The sequence below is a fragment of the Homo sapiens genome, chromosome 6, assembly GCF_000001405.40.
Source record: "Homo sapiens chromosome 6, GRCh38.p14 Primary Assembly".
NCBI classification, from domain to species: Eukaryota; Metazoa; Chordata; class Mammalia; order Primates; family Hominidae; genus Homo; species Homo sapiens.
In genome coordinates, this window is record NC_000006.12 from 67,302,811 (window position 1) to 67,323,831 (window position 21,021).

At 33.0% G+C, this 21,021-nt stretch overlaps 1 long non-coding RNA gene across 1 annotated transcript in view, besides 1 other annotated feature; it reads left to right on the forward strand.

Annotated features, from left to right (window-relative positions):
* Window positions 1-21,021, forward strand: part of LOC105377842 (uncharacterized) — a 51,796-nt gene that overhangs the window by 2,136 nt on the left and 28,639 nt on the right. The window contains exon 2 of the long non-coding RNA XR_942658.3: window positions 174-284. This is a non-coding gene — a long non-coding RNA (uncharacterized LOC105377842). The remainder of the gene's footprint in view (window positions 1-173; window positions 285-21,021) is intronic.
* Window positions 4,733-4,933: a silencer, noted in NCBI's record as "peak5869 fragment used in MPRA reporter construct". NCBI's record gives its function as "represses an SCP1 promoter by STARR-seq MPRAs in K562 erythroleukemia cells {active_cell/tissue: K562}" and the evidence as "EXISTENCE:reporter gene assay evidence [ECO:0000049][PMID:32103011]".

The following is a 21,021-nucleotide window of genomic DNA, read 5'->3' on the forward strand; positions in this document are numbered from 1 at the left end:
CCTTTGAGTTAAGTAAAGTAGAAGTACCCTTGAGGAAAGCCTGCTTTAATAGTACACATAATTATTGTTGAAACTTCTTTATAGACTTTATAATTTGCCACCTAGCTCTGAAGTATATGTAAACCAGAAAAAGTGAAATATTCAAATATATCTGTGATTATTAAATTCTACAGCTAACCATAATATCAGGGAACATAAAACATCTGGCCAGATATTTGCATTGAGTTGGGGTCAGCAGTGTCATCTGAATAATGAAGTTATGACCAATTTTCATATGATGATAGGTGAGTAAACTGCAAACATACCCTTTAATTTCTATTTGGAGAATGTGTATAATTGCTATTATTTTTTTCTTACATTTCTGACAGAATTTGCCAATGAAACCATTAAGCCCTGGAGACTTTTTTTTTTTTTTTTGGAAGATTTTGCATAGCAATTCAAGTCCTTTAAGAGACTATATTATGTATTTATTCTTGAGTGATTTATGGTAGTTTTGCCTTTAGGGAATTGATAAGTTTCATTTAAGTTGTCTATTTTGTTTGGCTTGAGTCTTTAGTCAATAATACTTTTAATGCCTTCTTTCATTCCTGATAAGAGTAAATGTGTCTTTACTTTTTTCTTGGTTAGTCTGGTAGACTTTTGTCAATTGTTTCTGATTTTAGGAAGGAAGCATTCAGTCTTTTATTATTTTTAGTATTAGCTATGGGTTTTATGTAGATCTTAACCAATTTAAATAATTTATTTTATATTCCTTTTTGTTGAGTGTTTTTATCATGAATGGGTGCTAGGTTTTGCCAAATAGTTTCCATGTGTCTATTGAGGTAATGATACATTTTTTTTTCCTGTGTGTATGCTTTTTCTATCAACAGACTTACTATGTTAATTGATTTGCAAATGTTTACCCGATTTTGCATTTGTGGGATAAATGCCACTGGGTAATTTTTTGGAAGAACATTAAAAAATTTGTGTGATTTAATGTTTGATAGAAGTCACCTGCTAACATATCTGGGTCTGGGCTTTCGCTTTTGTTTGTTGGAATATTTTAAAATTATCTTCTCACATTTTCTCACACCATTCATGCTTCTACCTCTTGTTCTTGCTATCTCTATCAAAGACAATTGAATTACATTTTCATGTAGATCATACTTTAAGAATAAAATGTCTTCTTAGGATTTTGAGAAACTTACATGAGGTTAGAACAACACTTTCCTCATTTAAGTCCATTTATGTCCGTAATTTCTGGGTAATTTTAGGGCTTTTGGTTTTAGTTTGTAGCTATTTCATTGTTAAAGTTTCTAATTGTGTTTCCATGTTTTTTATTGGTTTTGTTTATTTTGTCATCATCCATATTCAGAATTATTTAAGAATCATTTTTTCTTATTTTTATACACATTTTATTTCAGAATACTTTCAGATTTACATAAAAAAATCACATCTTATATTAGTGTAGTAAATTTGTCACAGCTAATGAACCAATATTGACACATTAGTGCTAGCTGAAAAATACACTTTATCCAAATTTTCTTAGTTTTTACCTGATTTTTTTTCTGTTCCAGCTTTCCATCTAGGATATTACATTACATTTTGTGTTCATACCTTCTAAGCTATTCTTAAATGTGATAGTTTCTCAGACTTTTCTTGTTTGTTAATGAGAGTTTTTCTGGTTTGCTTAATGAGAGTAGTAAGGAATTTTGGTCAGGTATTTGATAAAATATCCTCCTGTAGAATTTGCTTGATGATTTCCTCATGTTTTGATTGTGGTTATTGGTTTGGGGATAAAGATTACAGAGACAAAGTGCCCTTCTCATTGTATCAAAGATCAGGCTATCAACATGACTTACCACTATTGATGTACTTATTACGTGATTTACATAGTGTATTTCAGGTTCACCCATTGTAACCCTTCATTTCCCTCTACATACTAGCCTCTTTGAAAGAAAGTCACTATGTGGTCCACACTTAAGCAGTGGTCCACACTTAAGCAGTGGTCCACACTTAAGTAGTGGTCCACACTTATGCTCCACCACTTGGAGGACAGAATATCTACATAAATAATTTGTAGTTTGTCTGCAGAGAGATTTGTCTATATCCCCTATTAATGTATCACTCAATAATTTATATCAGTATGAAATAATATTTATTTCTTATTTCTTACTTGTATTTATTTTGTTTCAGAAACTGTTCTAGCTTCGGTCATTGAGAAGTCTTTCATTTGGCTCATGTTTTCCTTTGACATATCCCTTTATTGTGGATTTTATTGTTATTAGAGTTGTTGTTATCTTGAGCATTTTCTCACTTCCTAGCACTATCAGATGCTCTAGACTCATGTTGTTTAATTCTTGCCCCAGTCTAAGAATCAGCTATTTCTCCAAGTATCTCTGGTTCCTTTTATTAGAAAAAAAAAGTATTGGAAACCAAGACAAATAAGCCAGGTGCACTCCTTGCTACCGAGGTGCAGTTGTTTTAAAGCCATCTCTAATTACAGAGCTTGAATATATAATGGGTTAATACACACACACACATATAATAACTTATATATAATATATAATGTATGTGTGCATTATATATTTGTATAAATTTAATGTATATTATATATGTGTGTATGTATATATTAATCCATGTATATGCACATATCTATAAATGTTTCTGTATACAAACATCTATATCTTTAATTAGTCAGAGTTGATTTAAAGAGAAGAAATGTGGTAATATTTTAAATTAGGATTATATATTTTTACCTGTGAGATACACAGATAAATAGAATGGAGTTGGGAAACATCAAAGTAGGAAAAAGAACACATAAAGATTGCAGTGCAGATGATAAAAATTGTCTCTCTGAAATATATTAAGATAAAAAATTAGTTGATTAAAATAGTTGAAAGAGGATAATAAAAAAATTCTCAATTTGTCTACTTTGGATAACTAGGCTGGTGGGAATCTTCAGAATATAAGGAACATACTTATTTTTTAAATTTCATTTCAATTGCTTTAGGAGTAGAAGTGGTTTTTGAATACATCAATGAATTATATAGTGCTGATGTCTAGGATTTTAGTGCACCTGTCATCTGAATAATGTGCATTGTACCCAATAGGCAGTTTTTCATCCCTCACACTCCTCCTCCTTTCTGAGTCTCCAGTATCCACTACACCACTCAGTATGCCTTAATGTACCCATAATTTAGTTCCCACTTATGAGTGAAAACATATGGTATTAGATTTTTAATTCCTGACTTACTTCACTTAGAATAATGGCCTCCAGTTTCATCCAATTTGCTGCAGTAGAATATTTGGTTCTTTTCTATGGTAATATATTTTATAATGCATGTACACCACATTTTCCTTATCCTTAAATCAGATGAAAGACACTTAGATTGATTCTATATCTTTGCAATTGTGAATTTTGTTGTGATAAACATATACATGTGGGTGTTTTGGGATATAGTGACTTTTTCCCTTTGAGGAGATACCCAGTAGTGAGATTTCTGGATAGAATGGTAGATCCATTATTATTTATTTGAGAAGTCATTATGTTGTCTTCCTTAGAAGTTTTACTAATTTACAAGCCCACCAGCAGTGTGTAAGCATTCCATTATCACCACATCCATGACAAAGTCTATTATTATTTGACTTTTTAATTATGGAAATTCTAGCAGGAGTAAAGTGGTATCTCACTATGGTTTTAATTTACATTTCCCTGATGCTTGGTGATGTCTACTTTTTTTTCATGTATTTGTTGACCTTTTTTATTTCTTCTTTTGAGAAGTATCTATTCATGTCATTTGCCTGCTTCTTGATGAGATTTTTTAGTTTTTTTCTTGCTGATTTGTTTGAGTTATTTGTAGATTCTGGATATTAGTCCTTTGTCAGATACAAAGTTTGCAGTTGTTTTTTCATTTTTGAGTTGTCTGTTTACACTGATAATTATTTCTTTTGCTGTGCAGAGGCCTTTTAGTTTAATTAGGTCTCATTTTTGTTTTCATTGCATTTCCTTTTGGGGCCTTCGCAATATATGTATTTTTTTGTAGGCCAATGTCCAGAAGAGACTTTCTTAGGTGCTCTTCTAGAATTTTCATAGATTCAGGTCTTATATTTAACTTTAATTCATCTTGAATCTTTTTATATAGTGAGAGACAGAGCTGTAGCTTTATTATTTTACATGTGGATATTTAATTTTCCTAGCATCATATATTGAATAGGATGTTCTTTTTCAAATTAACATTTTTATATGCTCTGTAATATGGTTACGCTTTGTGTCCCGTCTCAAATCTCATCTTGAATTCTAATCCTCATAATCCCCACATGTCAAGAGAGAGACTAGGTGAAAGTAATTGGATTATGGGCATGATGTCTCCCATGCTGTTATCATGATAGTGAGTGAGTTCTCATGAGATCTGATGGTTTTATAACTGTTTGGTAGTTGCTCCTGTGTTCATTCTCCTTCCTGCCACTTTGTGAAGAAGGTGACTTCCACCATAAATTTAAGTTTCCTGAGGCCTCCCCAGCCATGTGGAATTTTGAGTCAATTAAACCTCTTTTCTTTCTTAATTACCCAGGCTTATGCAGTTCTTTATAGTAATGTGAGAATCAACTAATACAGTTAGGTGGTAACGCATAGAGTGGAGTGCTCCTATAAAGATATCCAAAAATGTGGAAACAGCTTAGGAAGTGGGTAACAGGCAGAGGTTGGAACAATTTAGAGGGCACAGAAGAAAACAGGAAGAAGTAGGAAAGTCTGAAACTTCCTTGAGACTTGCTGAATGGCTTTGACCACAACGCTGATAGTGATAATGGACAATGAAGTCCAGGCTAAAATGGTCTCAGATAAAGATGACAAATTTGTTGTGAACTGGAATATAGGTGATTCTTACTATACTTTAGCAAAGAGACTGCTGGCATTTTGCCCCACCTTATAGATCTGTGAAACTTTGAACTTGAGAATGATGATTTAGAGTATCTGGTGGAAGAAATTACTAAGCAGCAAAGTGTTCAAGAGGTGCCTTGAGTGCTCTTAAAAGCATTCAGTTTTATGCATTTACAATAGTATGGTTTGGAAGTGGAGCTAATGTTTAAAAGAGAAGCAGAGCATAAAAGTTCCAAAAATAGGCAGCCTGATGCAATAAAAAAGGAAGAGTTCATATCCTTTGCAGGGATATGGATGAAGCTGAAAACCATCAATCTCAACAAACTACACAGGAACAGAAAACCAAACACCGCATGTTCTCACTCATAAGTGGGACTTGAACAAAGAGAACACATGGACACAGGGAGGGGAACATCACACACCAGGGTCTGTCAGGGGGTGGGGAGCTAAGGGAGGGATAGCATTAGGAGAAATACCTAATGTGGATGATGGGTTGATGGGTGCAGCAAACCACCATGGCATGTGTATACCTATGTAACAAACTTGCATGTTCTGCATTTGTATCCCAGAACTTAAAGTATATTATTAAAAAAAAAAAAAAAAAAAAAGGAAAACTCATATGCTGGGGAAGAATTCAAGCCTACTGAAGAAATTTGCATAAGTAATGAAGAGCCAAATGTTAATCACCAAGACAATGGAGAAAATGTCTCCAGGGCATGTCAGAGGTATTAATGGCCACCCCTCCCATCACAAGCCCAGAGGCCTAGGAGGAAAAATGATTTTGTGGGCTGGATGCAGGACCTTGCTGCTTTGTGCAGTCTCATAACTTGATGTCCTGCTTCCCAGCCATGGAAAAAACATGCCTATGTCCAGCTCAGGCCATTGCTTCAGAGGCTGCAAGCTCCAAGTCTTGGCAGCTTCCACATGGTGTTGAGGCTGTGGGTACACAGAAGTCAAGAATTGAGGTTTGGGAACCTTCACTTAGAATTCAGAGGATGTGTGGAAACACCTGGATGTTCAGGCAGAAGTTTGCTGCAGGGGTCCAGTCCTCATGGAGAACCTCTGCTAGGGCAGTGTGGAAGGAAAATGAGGGAATCCCACAGAGTCCCCACTGAGAAACTGCCTATTGGAGCTGTAAGAAGAGGGCCACTCTCCTCCAAACCCCAAAATGTTAGATCCACTGGTAGTTTGCACTGTGTGCCTGGAAAAGCTGCAGACACTCAACGCCAGCCTAGGAAAGCAGCCAGGAAGAGGGCTGTGCCCCGAAAAGCCACCAGGGTTGGAGATAACCAAAACTGTGGGAAATCTAGTTCTTGCATTAGCATGACCCAGATGTGAGACATTAAGTCAAAGGAGATAATTTCAGATTAATCTTACAGATGTAATGGCTGCCCTGCAGTGTTTTGAACTTGCATGGGACCTGTAGCATCTTTGTTTTGGCTAATTTCTTCCATTTGGAATGGAAACATTTACCCAATACCTGTACCTCCATTGTGTCTTGGAAGCAACTAACTTGATTTTGATTTTACAGGCTTCTGGGCAGAAGAGACTTGCCTTGTCTTGACGAGGCTTTGGACTTGGAATTTTGGGTTAATAATAGAATGAATCAAGATTTTGGGGGACTACTGGGAAAGCATAATTGGTTTTGAAATGTGAAAGGAACATGACATTTTGTAGGGTCCAAGGGTGAAATGATGTGGTTAGGCTTTGTGTGCTCCCCCAAACCTCATTTTGAATTGTAATCCTCATAATCCCCATAAAACCCATGTGTCAAGAGAGAGACCAGGTGGAGGTTATTGGATCATGGGGGTGATTTCCCCCATTCTCTTCTCATGATAGTGAGTTCTCATGAGAGCTGATGGATTTATAAGTATTTGGTAGTTCCTCTGCAGTCATTCTCCCTCCTGCCCCCTTGTGAAGAAAATGCCTTGCTTCCCCTTCCCCTTCTGCCATTATTGTAAGTTTCCTGAGGCCTCCCCAGCCATGTGGAACCATTAGTCTATTAAGACTTTTTTGTTTCTTAATTATCCAATCTCAAGCAAGTCTTTATAGCAGTGTGAGAATGGACTAATATACCTTGTCAAAGACTGATTGGAGATAAATATTTAGCTTTATTTCTGGATTCTGGATTCTGTTATATTGGTCTGTGTATCTACTTTTATACCAGTACTTTGCTGTTTTTGTTACTGCAGACTTGTAGAAGAATTTGAAGTCAGGTAATGTGATGCCTCCTGATTTATACCTTTTGCTTAGGATTGTACTGGCTATAATGCTCTTTTTTGATTCTCTATAAATTTTAGAATTGAATTTTCTAAATATGTTAAAATAATGTTGGGATTTTGATAGGAATTATAATGAATGTGTAGATTGCTTTGGGCATTATGGTTATTTTTTCAATATTAGTTATTTCAATTCATGAACATGGGATGCATTTTCACATTTGTTTCATCTATGGTTCCTTCAGCGTGTTCTGTGGTTCTCCTTTTAGAGATCTTTTGCCTCCTTGGCTAAGTATATTCCTGGGCATTTTTTTTTTTTTAACTATTGTAAAGGGATTTAATTCTTGATTTAATTCTCAGCTTAGTCATTGTTAGTGTATAATAGTGCTACTTGTTTTTGTACAGTGATGTTGTAACCCAAGACTTCACTGAATTTATATGTCAGATCCAAGAGTATTTTGGAGGACTCTTTAGGGTTTTCTGAGTGTAAGATCATATCATCAGCGAATAAAAATAGTTTGACTACTTCTTTGCTAATCTAGGTGTTTTTTTTTTTTTAACCTGCCTAATTGCTCTGGCTAGGACTTCCAGTACTATGTTAAACAGAAGTAGTGAAAATGTGCATTATTTTCTTGTTCCAGTTCTTAGGGAAAATGCTTTCAACATTTCCCCATTTAGTAAGATGTTGGCTGTGGGTTTTTTCGTATGCTTCTTTTATTATTTTCAGGTATGTTCCTTCTATGCCTAGTTTATTGAGGGTTTTTGTCTTATAGAGGTGCTGGATTTTATGAAATGTTTTTTCTACATCTATGGAGATGATCATATGTTTTTTGTTTTTAATTCTGTTTATGTGATTAATCACATTATATTGAGTATTGCAAAATCCCTACCTCCCTGGAATGAAACCCAGTTGATCATGGTGAATTATGTTTTTAATATGCTGTTGGATTCAGTTTGCCAGTATTTTGTTGAACATATTTACATCTCTATTCATCAGGAATATTGCTCTGTAGTTTTATCTCTTTTTTTGTTGTTATGTCATTTCTTGGCTTTGGTATGAGGATAATACTGGCTTCATGGAATAAATCAGGGAACATTCCCTCCTTTTGAATCTTTTGGAATAGTTTCAGTAGAATTGTTATCAGTTATTTAAATGTCTGATGGAATTCAGATTTACATCAATCTGGCCCTGGGCTTTTTTGTTGCCCTTGGCAGTTTTTTTCATATTGATTTAATCTCACTGCTTGTTATTGATCTGTTCTGTATTTCTATTTCTTCCTGATTCAAGCTAGAGGTGGGGTTTGTATATTTCCAAAAATTTATCCCTTTTCTCTAGATTTTCTAGTTTGTGTGACTAGGGGTGTTCATAGTAGTCTCTATCTTTTGCATTTCTGTGTTGTTAGTTGTGATGCCTCCATTTTCATTTCTAATTGAACTTTTTTGAATCAATCTTTTCTTGGTTAATCTAGCTAGTGGTTTTTCAATTTTATCTTTTCAGAGCACTAGCTTTTCATTTTATTAATTTTTTGTTTGGGGTGTGTGTGTGTGTTTGTATTTTTTCAGTTTCATTTGGTTTTGCTCTGATTTTGTTATTTCTATTTTTTTTTCTGCTAACTTTGGGTTTGATTGGTTCTTTTCTCTCTAGTTCTTTGAGGCATGACAATGGGTTGCCAGTTTGTAACTTTTTAGACTTTTGCTGTTGGCATTTAGCACTATAAGCTTTCCTCTTAGCACTGCTTTTACTGTATACCACAGGTTTTGATAACTCTTATCACTGTTATCATTCATTTTGAATGTTTTGAAAACATTTTCATTTTAATTTTATTGTTAACCAAAAAATCATTCAGGAGCAGATTGTTTTATTTTCATATGTTTGTATAGTTTTGAGTGTTCTTTTCGAATTGATTTCTAGTTTCATTCTGCTATGGTCTGAGAAGATACTTAATATGATTTTGATTTAAAAAAGTTTATTGACACTTTTTTTGTGGCCTATCATATGGTCGATCTTGCGTCATGTTCCTTGTGCTGAGAAGAGTGTATATTCTGCAGTTCTTGGGTAGAATATTATGTAAATATTTGTTAGGTCCATTTGTTCTAGAGTGCAGTTTAAATGTGGTGTTTCTTTGTTGACTTTCTCCCTTGATGATCTGTCTAGTGCTATAAGTGAAGTGTTTATGTTCTCCACTTTATTGTGTTGCTGTCTAATTCTTTCTTTAAGTCTAGTAGGGCTTTATTCACTCTTTCTGGAGTTAGGTGCATACATTTTTAGAATTGTTATATCTTCTTGTTGAGTTGAACTGGTTATCATTATATAATGACCTTCTTCATCTTTTCTTTTAACTGTTGTTGCTTTAAAATCTGTTTTTATCTAATATAAGAATAGCTACTCATATTTTCTTTTGGTTTCCATTTGCATAAAATATCTTATTCCACTCCTTTACCTTGCGTCTATAAGAATACCCATGTGTTAAGTGGGTTTCCTGAAGACAGTAAATATTTGGTTTGTAATTTTTAAATACATTTTGCCAATCTGTATCTTTTAAGTAGAGTATTTAGACCATTTACATTCAACCTTAATATTAAGATATGAGGTACTGTTACAGTCATCATGTTCTTACCTAATGACTTTGTATTATTCATTGTGTTATTGTTTTATTAGCCCTGCGAATTTTGTTCTTTCAAGACTTTCTCTTCTGGTGCATATCAACCTTTTGTTTCAAGACTTAGAACTCCTTTTAGCATTTCTTGTAAGTCTGGTGTAATGTTGATAAATTCCCTCAGCATTTGCTTGTTTAAAAGAGACTTTATTTTTTCTTTATTTATGAAACTTAGTTTTTTTTGGATACACAATTCTTGGCTGGGAGTTATTCTGCTTAAGGAGACTAGAAATAGGACCCCAATCCCTTCTGGCTTTTAAGATTCTTGCTGAGAAGTCTGCTGTTATTCTGATAGGTTTTCTCATATAGGTTACTTGATGCGTTTGTCTCACTGCACTTATAATTCTTTCCTTTATATTGACTTTAGATAGCCCAAAGACTATATGCCTTGGTGAGGTCCTTTGTGCAAATGACTCTCACAGGAGTTCTTTGAGCTTCTTGTATTTGGATGTCTAAGTCTTTAACAAGGCCAGGAAAATTTTTTCTCAATTAGTCCTTCAAATAGGTTTTTGAGACTTTCTGCTCTCTTTCAACCTCAGGAAGATTCATAGGTTTGGTTTTTTTAAATAATCCCATATTTCTTACAGACATTGATCTTTATTTTTAATTTAATTTAATTTTTTATTTTTGTTTGATTGGCTTAATTGAAAGTCTTGTCTTTGGGCTCTGAAATGTTTTCTTCTATGTGGTGTAGCCTATCATTAAAACTTTCCACTGAATTTTATAGTTCCCTAAATGTGTCTTTTATTTCCAGAAGTTCTGATTGAGTAATACAAGTTTTTAAAAGGGAGATTTATTTGTCTATTTTTTTCTTATATAAAGATTAAATGTCTGCTTGTCACTGAGATGACTAAGTCCAGAAGAGTATAGATATATTCAGGAGTGTAAGTAGAGCTGGAGATCTGGTTTAGATTCTCTTGGTAATCTCTTACACCATATGAACAAGGACAAAACACTTGGAAATGAAAAATTTTAAAAAATAGCATAAGGACTAAATTATTTTTATTGTTTTTCATCTTTTAATGTTGTTTAATAGAGAACTGTATAAACACAGAAAAGGGCAATATTATCAGGCTTAATTTATTTATTCAAAGTTTTTTCCCCCAGTTTTATTAAAGTATACTTGACAAATAAAAGTTGTATCTATTTAGGATGTACAACATGATGTTTTGATATACGCATACAATGTAAAATGATTACCTTCAATTAAGCTAATTCACACATCCATCATCTCCCATAGTTACACTATGTTTGTGTCTATGTGTGTGTGGTGAGAGTACTTAAACTTAACTCTATACGAATTTCAAGTATGTAATAAGAATATAATTAGCTATAGTTACCGTGCTGTAATTAGATTTCTAGAAATTATTTAGCTTGAATAACTGAACTTTGAAAGCCTTAGGCCAACCATACCTACTTTTTCTTTTTTTTTTTTTTGAGACAGAGTCTCGCTCCGTAGCCCAGGCTGGAGTGCAGTGGCGCGATCTCGGCTCACTGCAAGCTCTGCCTCCCGGGTTCCTGCCATTCTCCCGCCTCAGCCACCGGAGTAGTAGCTGGGACTACAGGCGCCCGCCACCACGCCTGGCTAATTTTTTGTATTTTTTTAGTACAGACAGGGTTTCACCGTGTTAGCCAGGATGGTCTTGATCTCCTGACCTGGTGATCAGCCCGCCTCAGCCTCCCAAAGTGCTGGGATTACAGACGTGAGCCACCGCGCCCGGCCACCTACTTTTTCTACCCCAACCCTCAGCAACGACCATTCTATTCTGCTTCTGTGAGTTTAACATTTTTAGGTACCACATATGAGTAAAATCATGCAGTATTTGTCTTTTGGTTTCTGACTTACTACATATAGCATAGTGGCCTCTAGGCTCATTCTTGTTGTCACATATGATAGGGTTTTTTCTTTTTTAAGGCTGTATAATACTGTATTGTCTGTGTGTGTTTGCGTGTGTGTGTGTGTGTGTGTGTGTGTACCACATTTCTTTATCCTTTCATTTGTTGACCAATATGTAGGTCGTTTCCATATCTCGGTTATTGTGAATAATGCAGCAGTGAACATGACATCCAGACATCTCTTTCAGACCTGAATTTTATTTCCTTTGAATATATATCCAGAACTGTGACTGTTGGATCATATGGAAATTTTATTTTTAATTTTTTTGCAGAGCCTCCATAATGTTTTCTATCATGGCTGTACCAATTTACATTTCCATCAACAATATATAAGGATTATCTTTTCTCTACATTTATGACAGTTGTTGTCTTTCATCTTTTCTGATAATAGCCTTTTAGTTAAATTTTTAAGAATAAGAAAAACGGAACTCAGAGATCAACTCAGATTTCTTCAGTCCGTAAAACTAAGATGAACTTTTGGGTTCATTACTACTTGTTGTCATGTAGATGTTCAATTCCAACTCAAGAGTTCTGTATTCCATGTGATTAAATAATTCTATGTGATTCCACAATTAAAATGTGGCTGCAACTGCATTCAGTTCAGTCCCAGTCTTACATGGTAGCTTAATGTGTGAAATACTGCTATTTTTATATTTACGTCTAAATTTTATCATCTCTTATTAGACTTGACTATACAAATTTTGGGATGACATTAGAAGAAAGTTTATTTCAGCATGAGAAATAACTTTGAATAATATGTCAGTAACTCTACCCTTAAAATAAATATTTTAAAATTATTTTGAATAACTCTTAAATTTAATCATGGCATGTGCCCCCGGATGGATTTAATTAAACCCATATTCAAAATTCTTGCCTCTCTCATGTGGTAAATATAATTCATTGTGTCTGAAGGAGGCTATCTTTATCTTTGTTGAGCTATAAATCTACCCTTGGTGTATTTGGCACTATTTTCATCTTTTCAGAAGTAACATCTCTTCATGACATCTCTAAATGCTTTTTCAGATGTTTCCAAAATGTAACAAATGATTAAAATAAGAACACGATAATAGCATAAATCCTCACTTGTCTGCTTGCCTTGACTATGTTGGATCAATGATAGTTGAAATAGAGACAAGTTAAAAGGTCTCCAGGACTTTTTTTGGATGGAAGGCTTGCGCTTCATTCTTTATCTCTCTTGTTTCTGAAAACTAACTCCAAATGGCCCAGCCACTCTGCACTATTCCACCATAAAACAAAAGTCCTAGAGAAAAGTGAAAAGGCAAACATTGATAGAAGTTGTATGAAAATTAAAAGAAATTGTTGAAGAATGTTGGAGAAATGTGAAAGAATCATTCCTCTTAAGCCATTTCTTTCTATGGAAAGAGGTTGGGTTTGTTAATCTGACAGCTTCCTAGTGACTCCACAGAAGCTCAACTCTTTGCAGGTAGGATAGCACAACGAAGGAGAGGCCAGATTGTGGATCCGGACACTTCAGTTTGAATCCCCTGTTCTAACATTTATTGGCTTGTGATATTTGACAAGTTATAATTTCTTTATACTTCATTTTCACAGTCTATAGAATGAGATTATAATAGTACCTACATCATAGGTGTTGCTTTGACATATAGTAAGTCAATGTAATTACAGCACTTAAAGCAGAACCTGATGTACAATCCCATTCTATAAGTGTTAGTGATCAGTACTTCTGATGGCTACTGTGTAACACAAAGCTAATTCTCAATTTGAGCTATCCAAAAATATATTATGTAGTCAGGTACTTGTATATGTCGTCAATTCCTTCTTTTATTGGTAAAGGTTGAATCTATATTATTGAGTAACTGTTATTAGTTCTACTTGATATTTTCTAATATAAAAATATTCTATATAGTTTAGGTGACTCTAACTAAAAGAAACACTCTAGAAAACTAAAAAAAACAATAATTGATAACTATAAACAAAGTAGTATATATAATTGCTAAGAATAAATAGGCAATAAATATTTAAATGCAGTAATATTGGACTGACATAGGTTAAAGTATGTAATGTTTGCTAAGCATTTATTAATTTTCTGATTTTTTCTGCAAACCAATATATCTCAATATAATTTTTAAAAACCCACTAGAATTTAACTTTTATCTACAGGAAATACGACTTCTGGTGGTCTAATGATTTCTGTTTCTTAATTTAAAACTTGCAAATGTTTGTTTTTATCAAAAAGATACTTTTAAAGGAAAAATTCATGAACATATAAACATATGTTTTATTGAATATTAAGGTTAAAATACCAAGCTGTCACTAATAACTAGCTCTCATACAGATAAGATGCTTTCAAGCCTTGATATCTTTTAAAAATATATTCAGTTTTGTGCCTCATTAAGAACCATATTTTTCAAGATAGATTAACTTTTCTCAAGTACAAAATGTCTCACCATTTGAGAGAAAATGAGTGCTTTTACATTGTACTGATTATTGTCCTAAAATTCCTGACATCATTGAAAACTATTTTTGTGAAATAAGTTCTTGCCTAAAAGTTCAGTATATCAGTTTACTACTAGCAATATAACTTACACACTGTTTTTTCCCTTAACCTGCATATGGAGCTTTATAAACAAATAATATAGTTTAAAGGATATGTTTTATTAGTATAATAAGAGGTACCTTGAATTTTTAAGGTACATCATCCATGCTTTGAATTACATAAAATTCAATAGTTTTTCTCTGGTTTATGGTAGGTTTATATAAAATGATTATATAAATTACATATTTGTATGGTATATTTTTACAAAGAATATTTCTTGGGTAGATATAATATAAACCATAAGAACAAAGAGGCTGTATTAATTTATGTTACCAAGTGTCCTTTCATTTAAATATTGATTTTATAAAAGAGTTAAACAACTATAATGTATACTACACTATCATTATTAAAAGAAAGCTACGTGTTAGGCCACCAAGAAGAGTTAATACTTCAAAATTTTTAATTAGATTTTGGAAAAAATATCTAATACGTTTTTGCAGTATGTGTCCATGCAAGTTTATATATTTTTAAACTATTAGTAAAATAATGTTTTATAGCAATAGAGTATCTCTTATCTGAAGTGCTTGGAACCAGAAATGTTTCAAATGTAGAATTGTTTGAATTTTTGAATACTTGCAATTACCAATGAGATATCTTAGGATGACTCCCAAGTCTAAACATGAAACTTACTTATGTTTTATATATACTTTGTACACGTAGCCTAAAGATAATTTTATACAATATTTTAAATAATTTTGTAAATAAAGCAAACTTTTGACTGCATTTTGACTGCAACTCCTCACATGAGGTCAGATATGAAATTTTCTGCCTATGGTGTTTGCGTTTTATAGCACTTTGAGTTTCCGAATTTAGATTAGTAATGCTCAACCTGTATATACTTTAAGAAGTAAATAGTAGTCAGTGTTTTGGTGACAGGAAGTTGTCTCTGCTAAGTGATGGGTAAAATATATTCTTGATGCAAATTTTAGTCAAGATTATTTTCAGGGTAAAATAGAAAGCTAGCTCACTTGAAAAAAAATCTCTAGAATTTTCAACATCTGATTTCAAAGTGCTACAAAAAGCAGAGGATTCCTCTCAACAATGCTTGTCTAAAAGAAATATTTTCACTTTGGATAAAAGTAAGATGGCAGGAAAGCATCAGGTGTCTGTCTCCTCACCTCCAACATAAAGAGTAACTTAAAACAGAGGTTTGTTGAGAGTAAAGCCCTTGGTGTGTTATCCATTTCACCTAGCTCAAATCAAATAATTCAAAGCATAGCTTTCAAGAATAGCTAGCTAGGAAATATCCTTATCCAAAAATGTTAACAACTCTTCTAGGTAGCAGATGCCTAGATATATTTAAAAAGTTGTTTGGAAAAGTCATAACTTTTTTGAAATATTGAAGCATTTTTGTAAGAACTGTTGACATCTAAGCTACAAATGCCTATTTTTGTCTTGTAACTATTTTTGTCTTTGTATATATAAGCGAAAATAAAAAGTACTAAAATTGGCATTTTCGTTGTAAATAAAAAAGATTTTTCTCCTTTTCTAAAGTTTTTTTTTTCTTTTCTACTAAGGTTTCTTTGTCTGAATGGTATCATATATCCCATTTTGCAAAGAAGCCTAATTGAACTTTCTTGTCTCTCAAAACTCCAAATAATGGAATAGCATTTGTAGCAAAACCTGCATAAAACCCTGTAGCCATTTAAGTAAATTCATGCCGTGATACATGTGGAAGTATATGTATTCTTTGCCTGTGGAAATATGATTTTTTTTTTTAGAAAGTACAATTCTGGACTTTGTTGTTGTCTGTCAAAATACTGAGAATATATTAAGGAATGCATCCTCGATTCTTTGCAGTACATTCATGTAGGGCTTTACTGCATTTTAGTAATTTTTTTTCCACAAGTTATCTCAGTCCTAACCCTGATCTGTCTTTTCAGTTGTTGCTTTGTATTCTAGATAATAATGAAACTAAAATATCCAGATATCCAAAGCTATATTATGAACTAAGTGAGAAGTAAGGATATTTCCTTTTTCTCTGAGGCCTAAAAATAATGAAAGCTTAAATACTACCACAAACCTGAACTGCGATAATCAAGGCTTTTATGCTTGAATGTACATGTTTTGATGTGAATTATAAATATAGTTAAATGTATGAAACCTGACAGAAAATGATATTCCCAATAACTACAGAGAGGAGTATTCCCTAATTAGAAAACTGTCAGAGTAGAAGATACCAAACTATACTCACTAGCAAACTCCTAAATCTAAATATTCATAACAAAAGTTGGATCTTAAAAGCATTTTTGTTATTTAAATTTTAACATTAAAAAAATTGCGGCACAATATTATTAGCAACATCATTACTAACAGTTCTTATTCTGCATGAGGGAATACAGAGAGGGAAATCAGAAGTTAACTATTCTTAAGGCTAACCTCATGCAGTAACTCTTGTGCCTGAAGATAATATACCCTGGGCTTTAATATATCTACAAAAGGGCTTCAACGAGTTAATTTCTCACCACCGTAAATAGAAAATGAAACAAGGTATCAGCACATCAAAGTGACTACATGTGTGTTTTAAAAAATGTTTTGGATTTGTCTTCCAAGACTGTGAACTCAGGGTCCAAAGTACAGCTGAAACAATTCACTGTGTATATTTAAGTATGGCATCAATATAACTCCTAATTTGTTGGATTTGTATCTTAAGGGAATTAACATTATTTTTAATGTTGAATGAGATGGTCATTGGAGTTTCAGTTCACAGTCAAAAGGAGATTTAGAAAATTGCATGGAGATTAGAAACATACACTTTGGAAAAAGTGCTAGCTAGAACCAATTATTCTAGACAAAAAGCAAAGCAGTATATACTTAACTATAATAAGGACATTCAATGTAAATTTGCAGACTGCAATTCTCTGTGAATATACAAGCTATTTTTATTAATTAATAAGCTTTTTCTCAAATTGACCGTCTATATAAATTCCATTGAAGACTAAGATTTTGCTATTTAAAAAATTAAATTTTGGAGCCACAGGCCATAGAACAGACACTAAAGAAAGGTATACAGACAATAATATTATACATGTCAAAAATGGCTTTGACTGATATATAAAGTAGGGTTTTGTAGGCAAAGAATAAATGGAAAAAAGTTGCTAGGTCAAAGTTGCAAATGATAAATGTCACCATCCCTGGTCTTGTGGTGGACTGTCTAATTGCATCTGAAAGCAGAATTAAAATGATAGGCATTTTTGTTATTTGTATTTTGAATGCAGCATTATTCTAAGTAACAACTTAGAAGATAATTATACTATTAAAACTTTGAGTTTTAGGTTCAGATGTTTTACACACAGCCCTACTGCTAACACGGGTTATATCAACAACTGAAGCAGATGATTTGGGAAGCAAATTAGGACCAAACTTAATGAGAGAGTTTAAGATCCAAAATAATTGAAGAGGCAAGTCACCTAGATGTTCACTGAAAATTCACATCTGTTTATAATTTAATTCTGAAAAAAATCCTCTGACAACAAGACTATATTTCTGAGTATGAACCAAAATTAAAAATGCAAACTTGAAGAACCAGCGGTGATGCTCACATGATTCCGAATCCCAAGTCCAATTTCCTGGCATGTGCATCCTAAATTATGCAGATAACTAGGTTCCTTTCATAGCGTTAATTTGCTTTTGGCCGGTGGTCACATTTTTGTTGGTAAGTAGAGATGTTTTTTCTGTCTTCCTTTCAGTTGTATTTGACATGAGTGACCTTGCTGTCCTCTACCAATCCACCCCTGACAATTTACTCTTGTTTTCATTTTCTCTAACACTTCTTCCTGTTTTACTCTCTGCCTTTTGCTTGCTTTTCTTTTTCTCATTTGCAGACTCATTGTCCTTTCTTTGTCCACAGTACATTCAAAGTTCTCAAAGTAGGAAATTCAGAATGATATCCCTGGGTAATGTCATTTACTAAGAACTTAGATAATCCCATTCTTGGTAATTCCATTTTCATCCAAGACTTTCCTAACTGCCTGTTTATAGATCATAAACTGAATATGTTGAGCATCAGATATTTATTTCCAACTGTTTTTTACTCAACACATTATCCATCATGCCTTCATGCCTTAAGATTTGAAATGTTAAACTTCTTTCCCTGATGTGAATCTCTTCTTACAGTCCACATTTAAATTAATGAAGCTACTGTCTATACAGTTTCAAATGCAATGATGTAGGAATCATTCATGACACCTCCTTCTCTCTCCAGCCCCATATTCACATATTTAATCCAATACCAATTATTTTCTTTTTATTTTAAATTATTCCCAATCTGTTAGCTTTTCTCAAGTTCTTCCAATATGCTCATTTGTAGCTATCATGCCATAACTAGAAAATTTTGGAGATTCCCCACACAGGCCTTCTTTCAATTCTTTGTGCTCACCATGTACTCTCTCAACAGAGGACCTTTCATAAGAAATTCCTTGTATCCATAATCTTCTTTCTTTTCCTCTTTGACAAGGTAACTCGTTTTTATTCTACAGGTCTCAGCTCAGTTACAAAATACGCTTTCTCTTTAAGTGATTTTTCCTATTAAAAGTTGAAACTCTTTTTTTTTTTTTTTTTTTTTTTTTTTTTGAGGGAGTATCGCTCTGTTACCAGGCTGGAGTGCAGTGGCTCAATCTCAGCTCACTCCGCCTCCCGGGTTCAAGCGATTCCCATGCCTCAGATTACCGAATAGTTGGGACTACAGGCGCGTGCCTCTACCCCAGCTAATTTTTGTATTTTTATTACAGACCCAGTTTCACCCTGTTGGCCAGGATGGTCTCAATCTCTTGACCTCGTGACCTGCCCGCCTCAGCCTCCCAAAGGGCTAGGATTACAGGCATGAGCCACCGCGCCCCGCCAAAAGGTTAGACTTTTTGGTACTATTGTTTGATTAATAGATATCTCTTCCACTCAAAATTAAAATGTTTTCCTTCATGACCAAATTTAGAAAAAATATAAAATATGTTGTTAAAATCCTAACATTCAAGCAGCTCAATGAATTTCAAGCATGAATCCTTTAACTACATATGTTCATTAATTTATTAATTCATCCAACAGACGTATATTAACCTCCTGTCATGTCAGAGGAATTTTTCTAGGCAATTAGGGATACATCAGTGAATGTAATAAGGAAAATATTCTGGCTTACATTTTAGTGAAAGCAGAGAGATAAAATAAATAACTATGTATGTATGTATACATACACAGAAATTATATAATTTGTGGAGGAAAAAGGAGTTAAGAAAGAGAGTGTTGGTGTGAGCAATTTGAATAGCAGAATCAGGAAATCTTTTCTGTGAAGGCGATGTTTGGGCTAAGGCTGAAGTGTTAAGCTGAGCGATGTGAACATCTGAGAAAAGTGCCGTCTAGGCAAAAAGAATGGCAAATACAAAGGCAAATACAAAACAGGTCATGGGTGATTTTAGAGACTGCTGTTTCTGTTGACTTTTAATTTCCAGGTAGCTAGTTTCCTTGTGATGTGATTTTCATTGATTGCAGTTTTTTTTTTGTTGTGGTGAAAAACGTATTGTTATTTCTATGTGTTTGAAATCATCTTGCTTTACTTTTTTCCTACTATGTCTACTTTTATACATTTTCCATGAACATTTGAAATTGTAATTAATTCTATTCCATGGTATTTTAAATAATATATGTGGTTTTGTAATCATCACGTTATATGCTTTGTAGTTGGTTTTAAGTAATAGAAATATTAAGCAGTCATTACCTTATGATTTTCTAAATAAAGTATACTGAATAGTCAATAACATAGTATGATCACAATCATGTTTCTACTATCATTCAGATTTTGCCTTTAGTTGAAAATTCTAATCACCTTCATTCCCTACAATTACTATATAAATAAATGAATATATGTATGTATGTCTGTATATATATATACATAAATTATAAAAATATTCTAGCTTACATTTTAGTGAAAACAAATAGATAATAAAATGAATAAATATATATGTATCTATATAAAACATAAATTATACAATTTATAAAGAAAATAAAAGAGGTAAGAAAGATACTGCCGGGGTTAGCAGTTAGAATAGGAGGATCAATTTGAATAGAAGTCCTTCCAGATAAGGTGATATATACTGTATAAATAAATTTCTATAATATAAATACTATTTATAAATAAACAACAAAATATACTATAAATAAACAAATTACTAGACTACAAACACTATATACTATAAATACACTATATTCTATACTATTAATACTATAGTATAATACTATAGTATAGTAAGAAAAAGTGACTAAAGGTATACATAATATATAATTATGCATATATTATATATATTACATATATGACATATTTTTAAATGTCCCAAGAAATTAAGTATTATAAGAAGTTTTTACATTTGCTCAATATATCTCTATATATCCCTCCTAAAATCTTGTTTTCTTTCATCTTAGACTAGTATATCCTTAAGTACTTCTGGGAATTTTTGCTTGTTTAATTTTGTTCAAGAAATGTTCTCTGTCCCCTAAAGATTTTTCCCGTGTTTGAAAAATATGTGCATGTCAAATTTTTATTTAATAAAAAAATGGCTGGGTATAAAAACAGGTAGTTTGTGGAATTTGTTTACTGTTCTTCGAGAACTAAGTACTACCATTGAGAAGTTATGTTTTCAGTCATATTTTTGAATGCTTGTCAGAGGTTTTATTATTCTCATTTTGCCTAGATAGCCATGACTTTTTTCTTAAATCTTAAAACCAGAAACTTTAAAATATTTTTTTATATACTGTATTGGTTTATATAAAGGTATTTTATTTTATTTAAATATTTGTCAGTATCACTTGGTGTTCAAAGTTTTC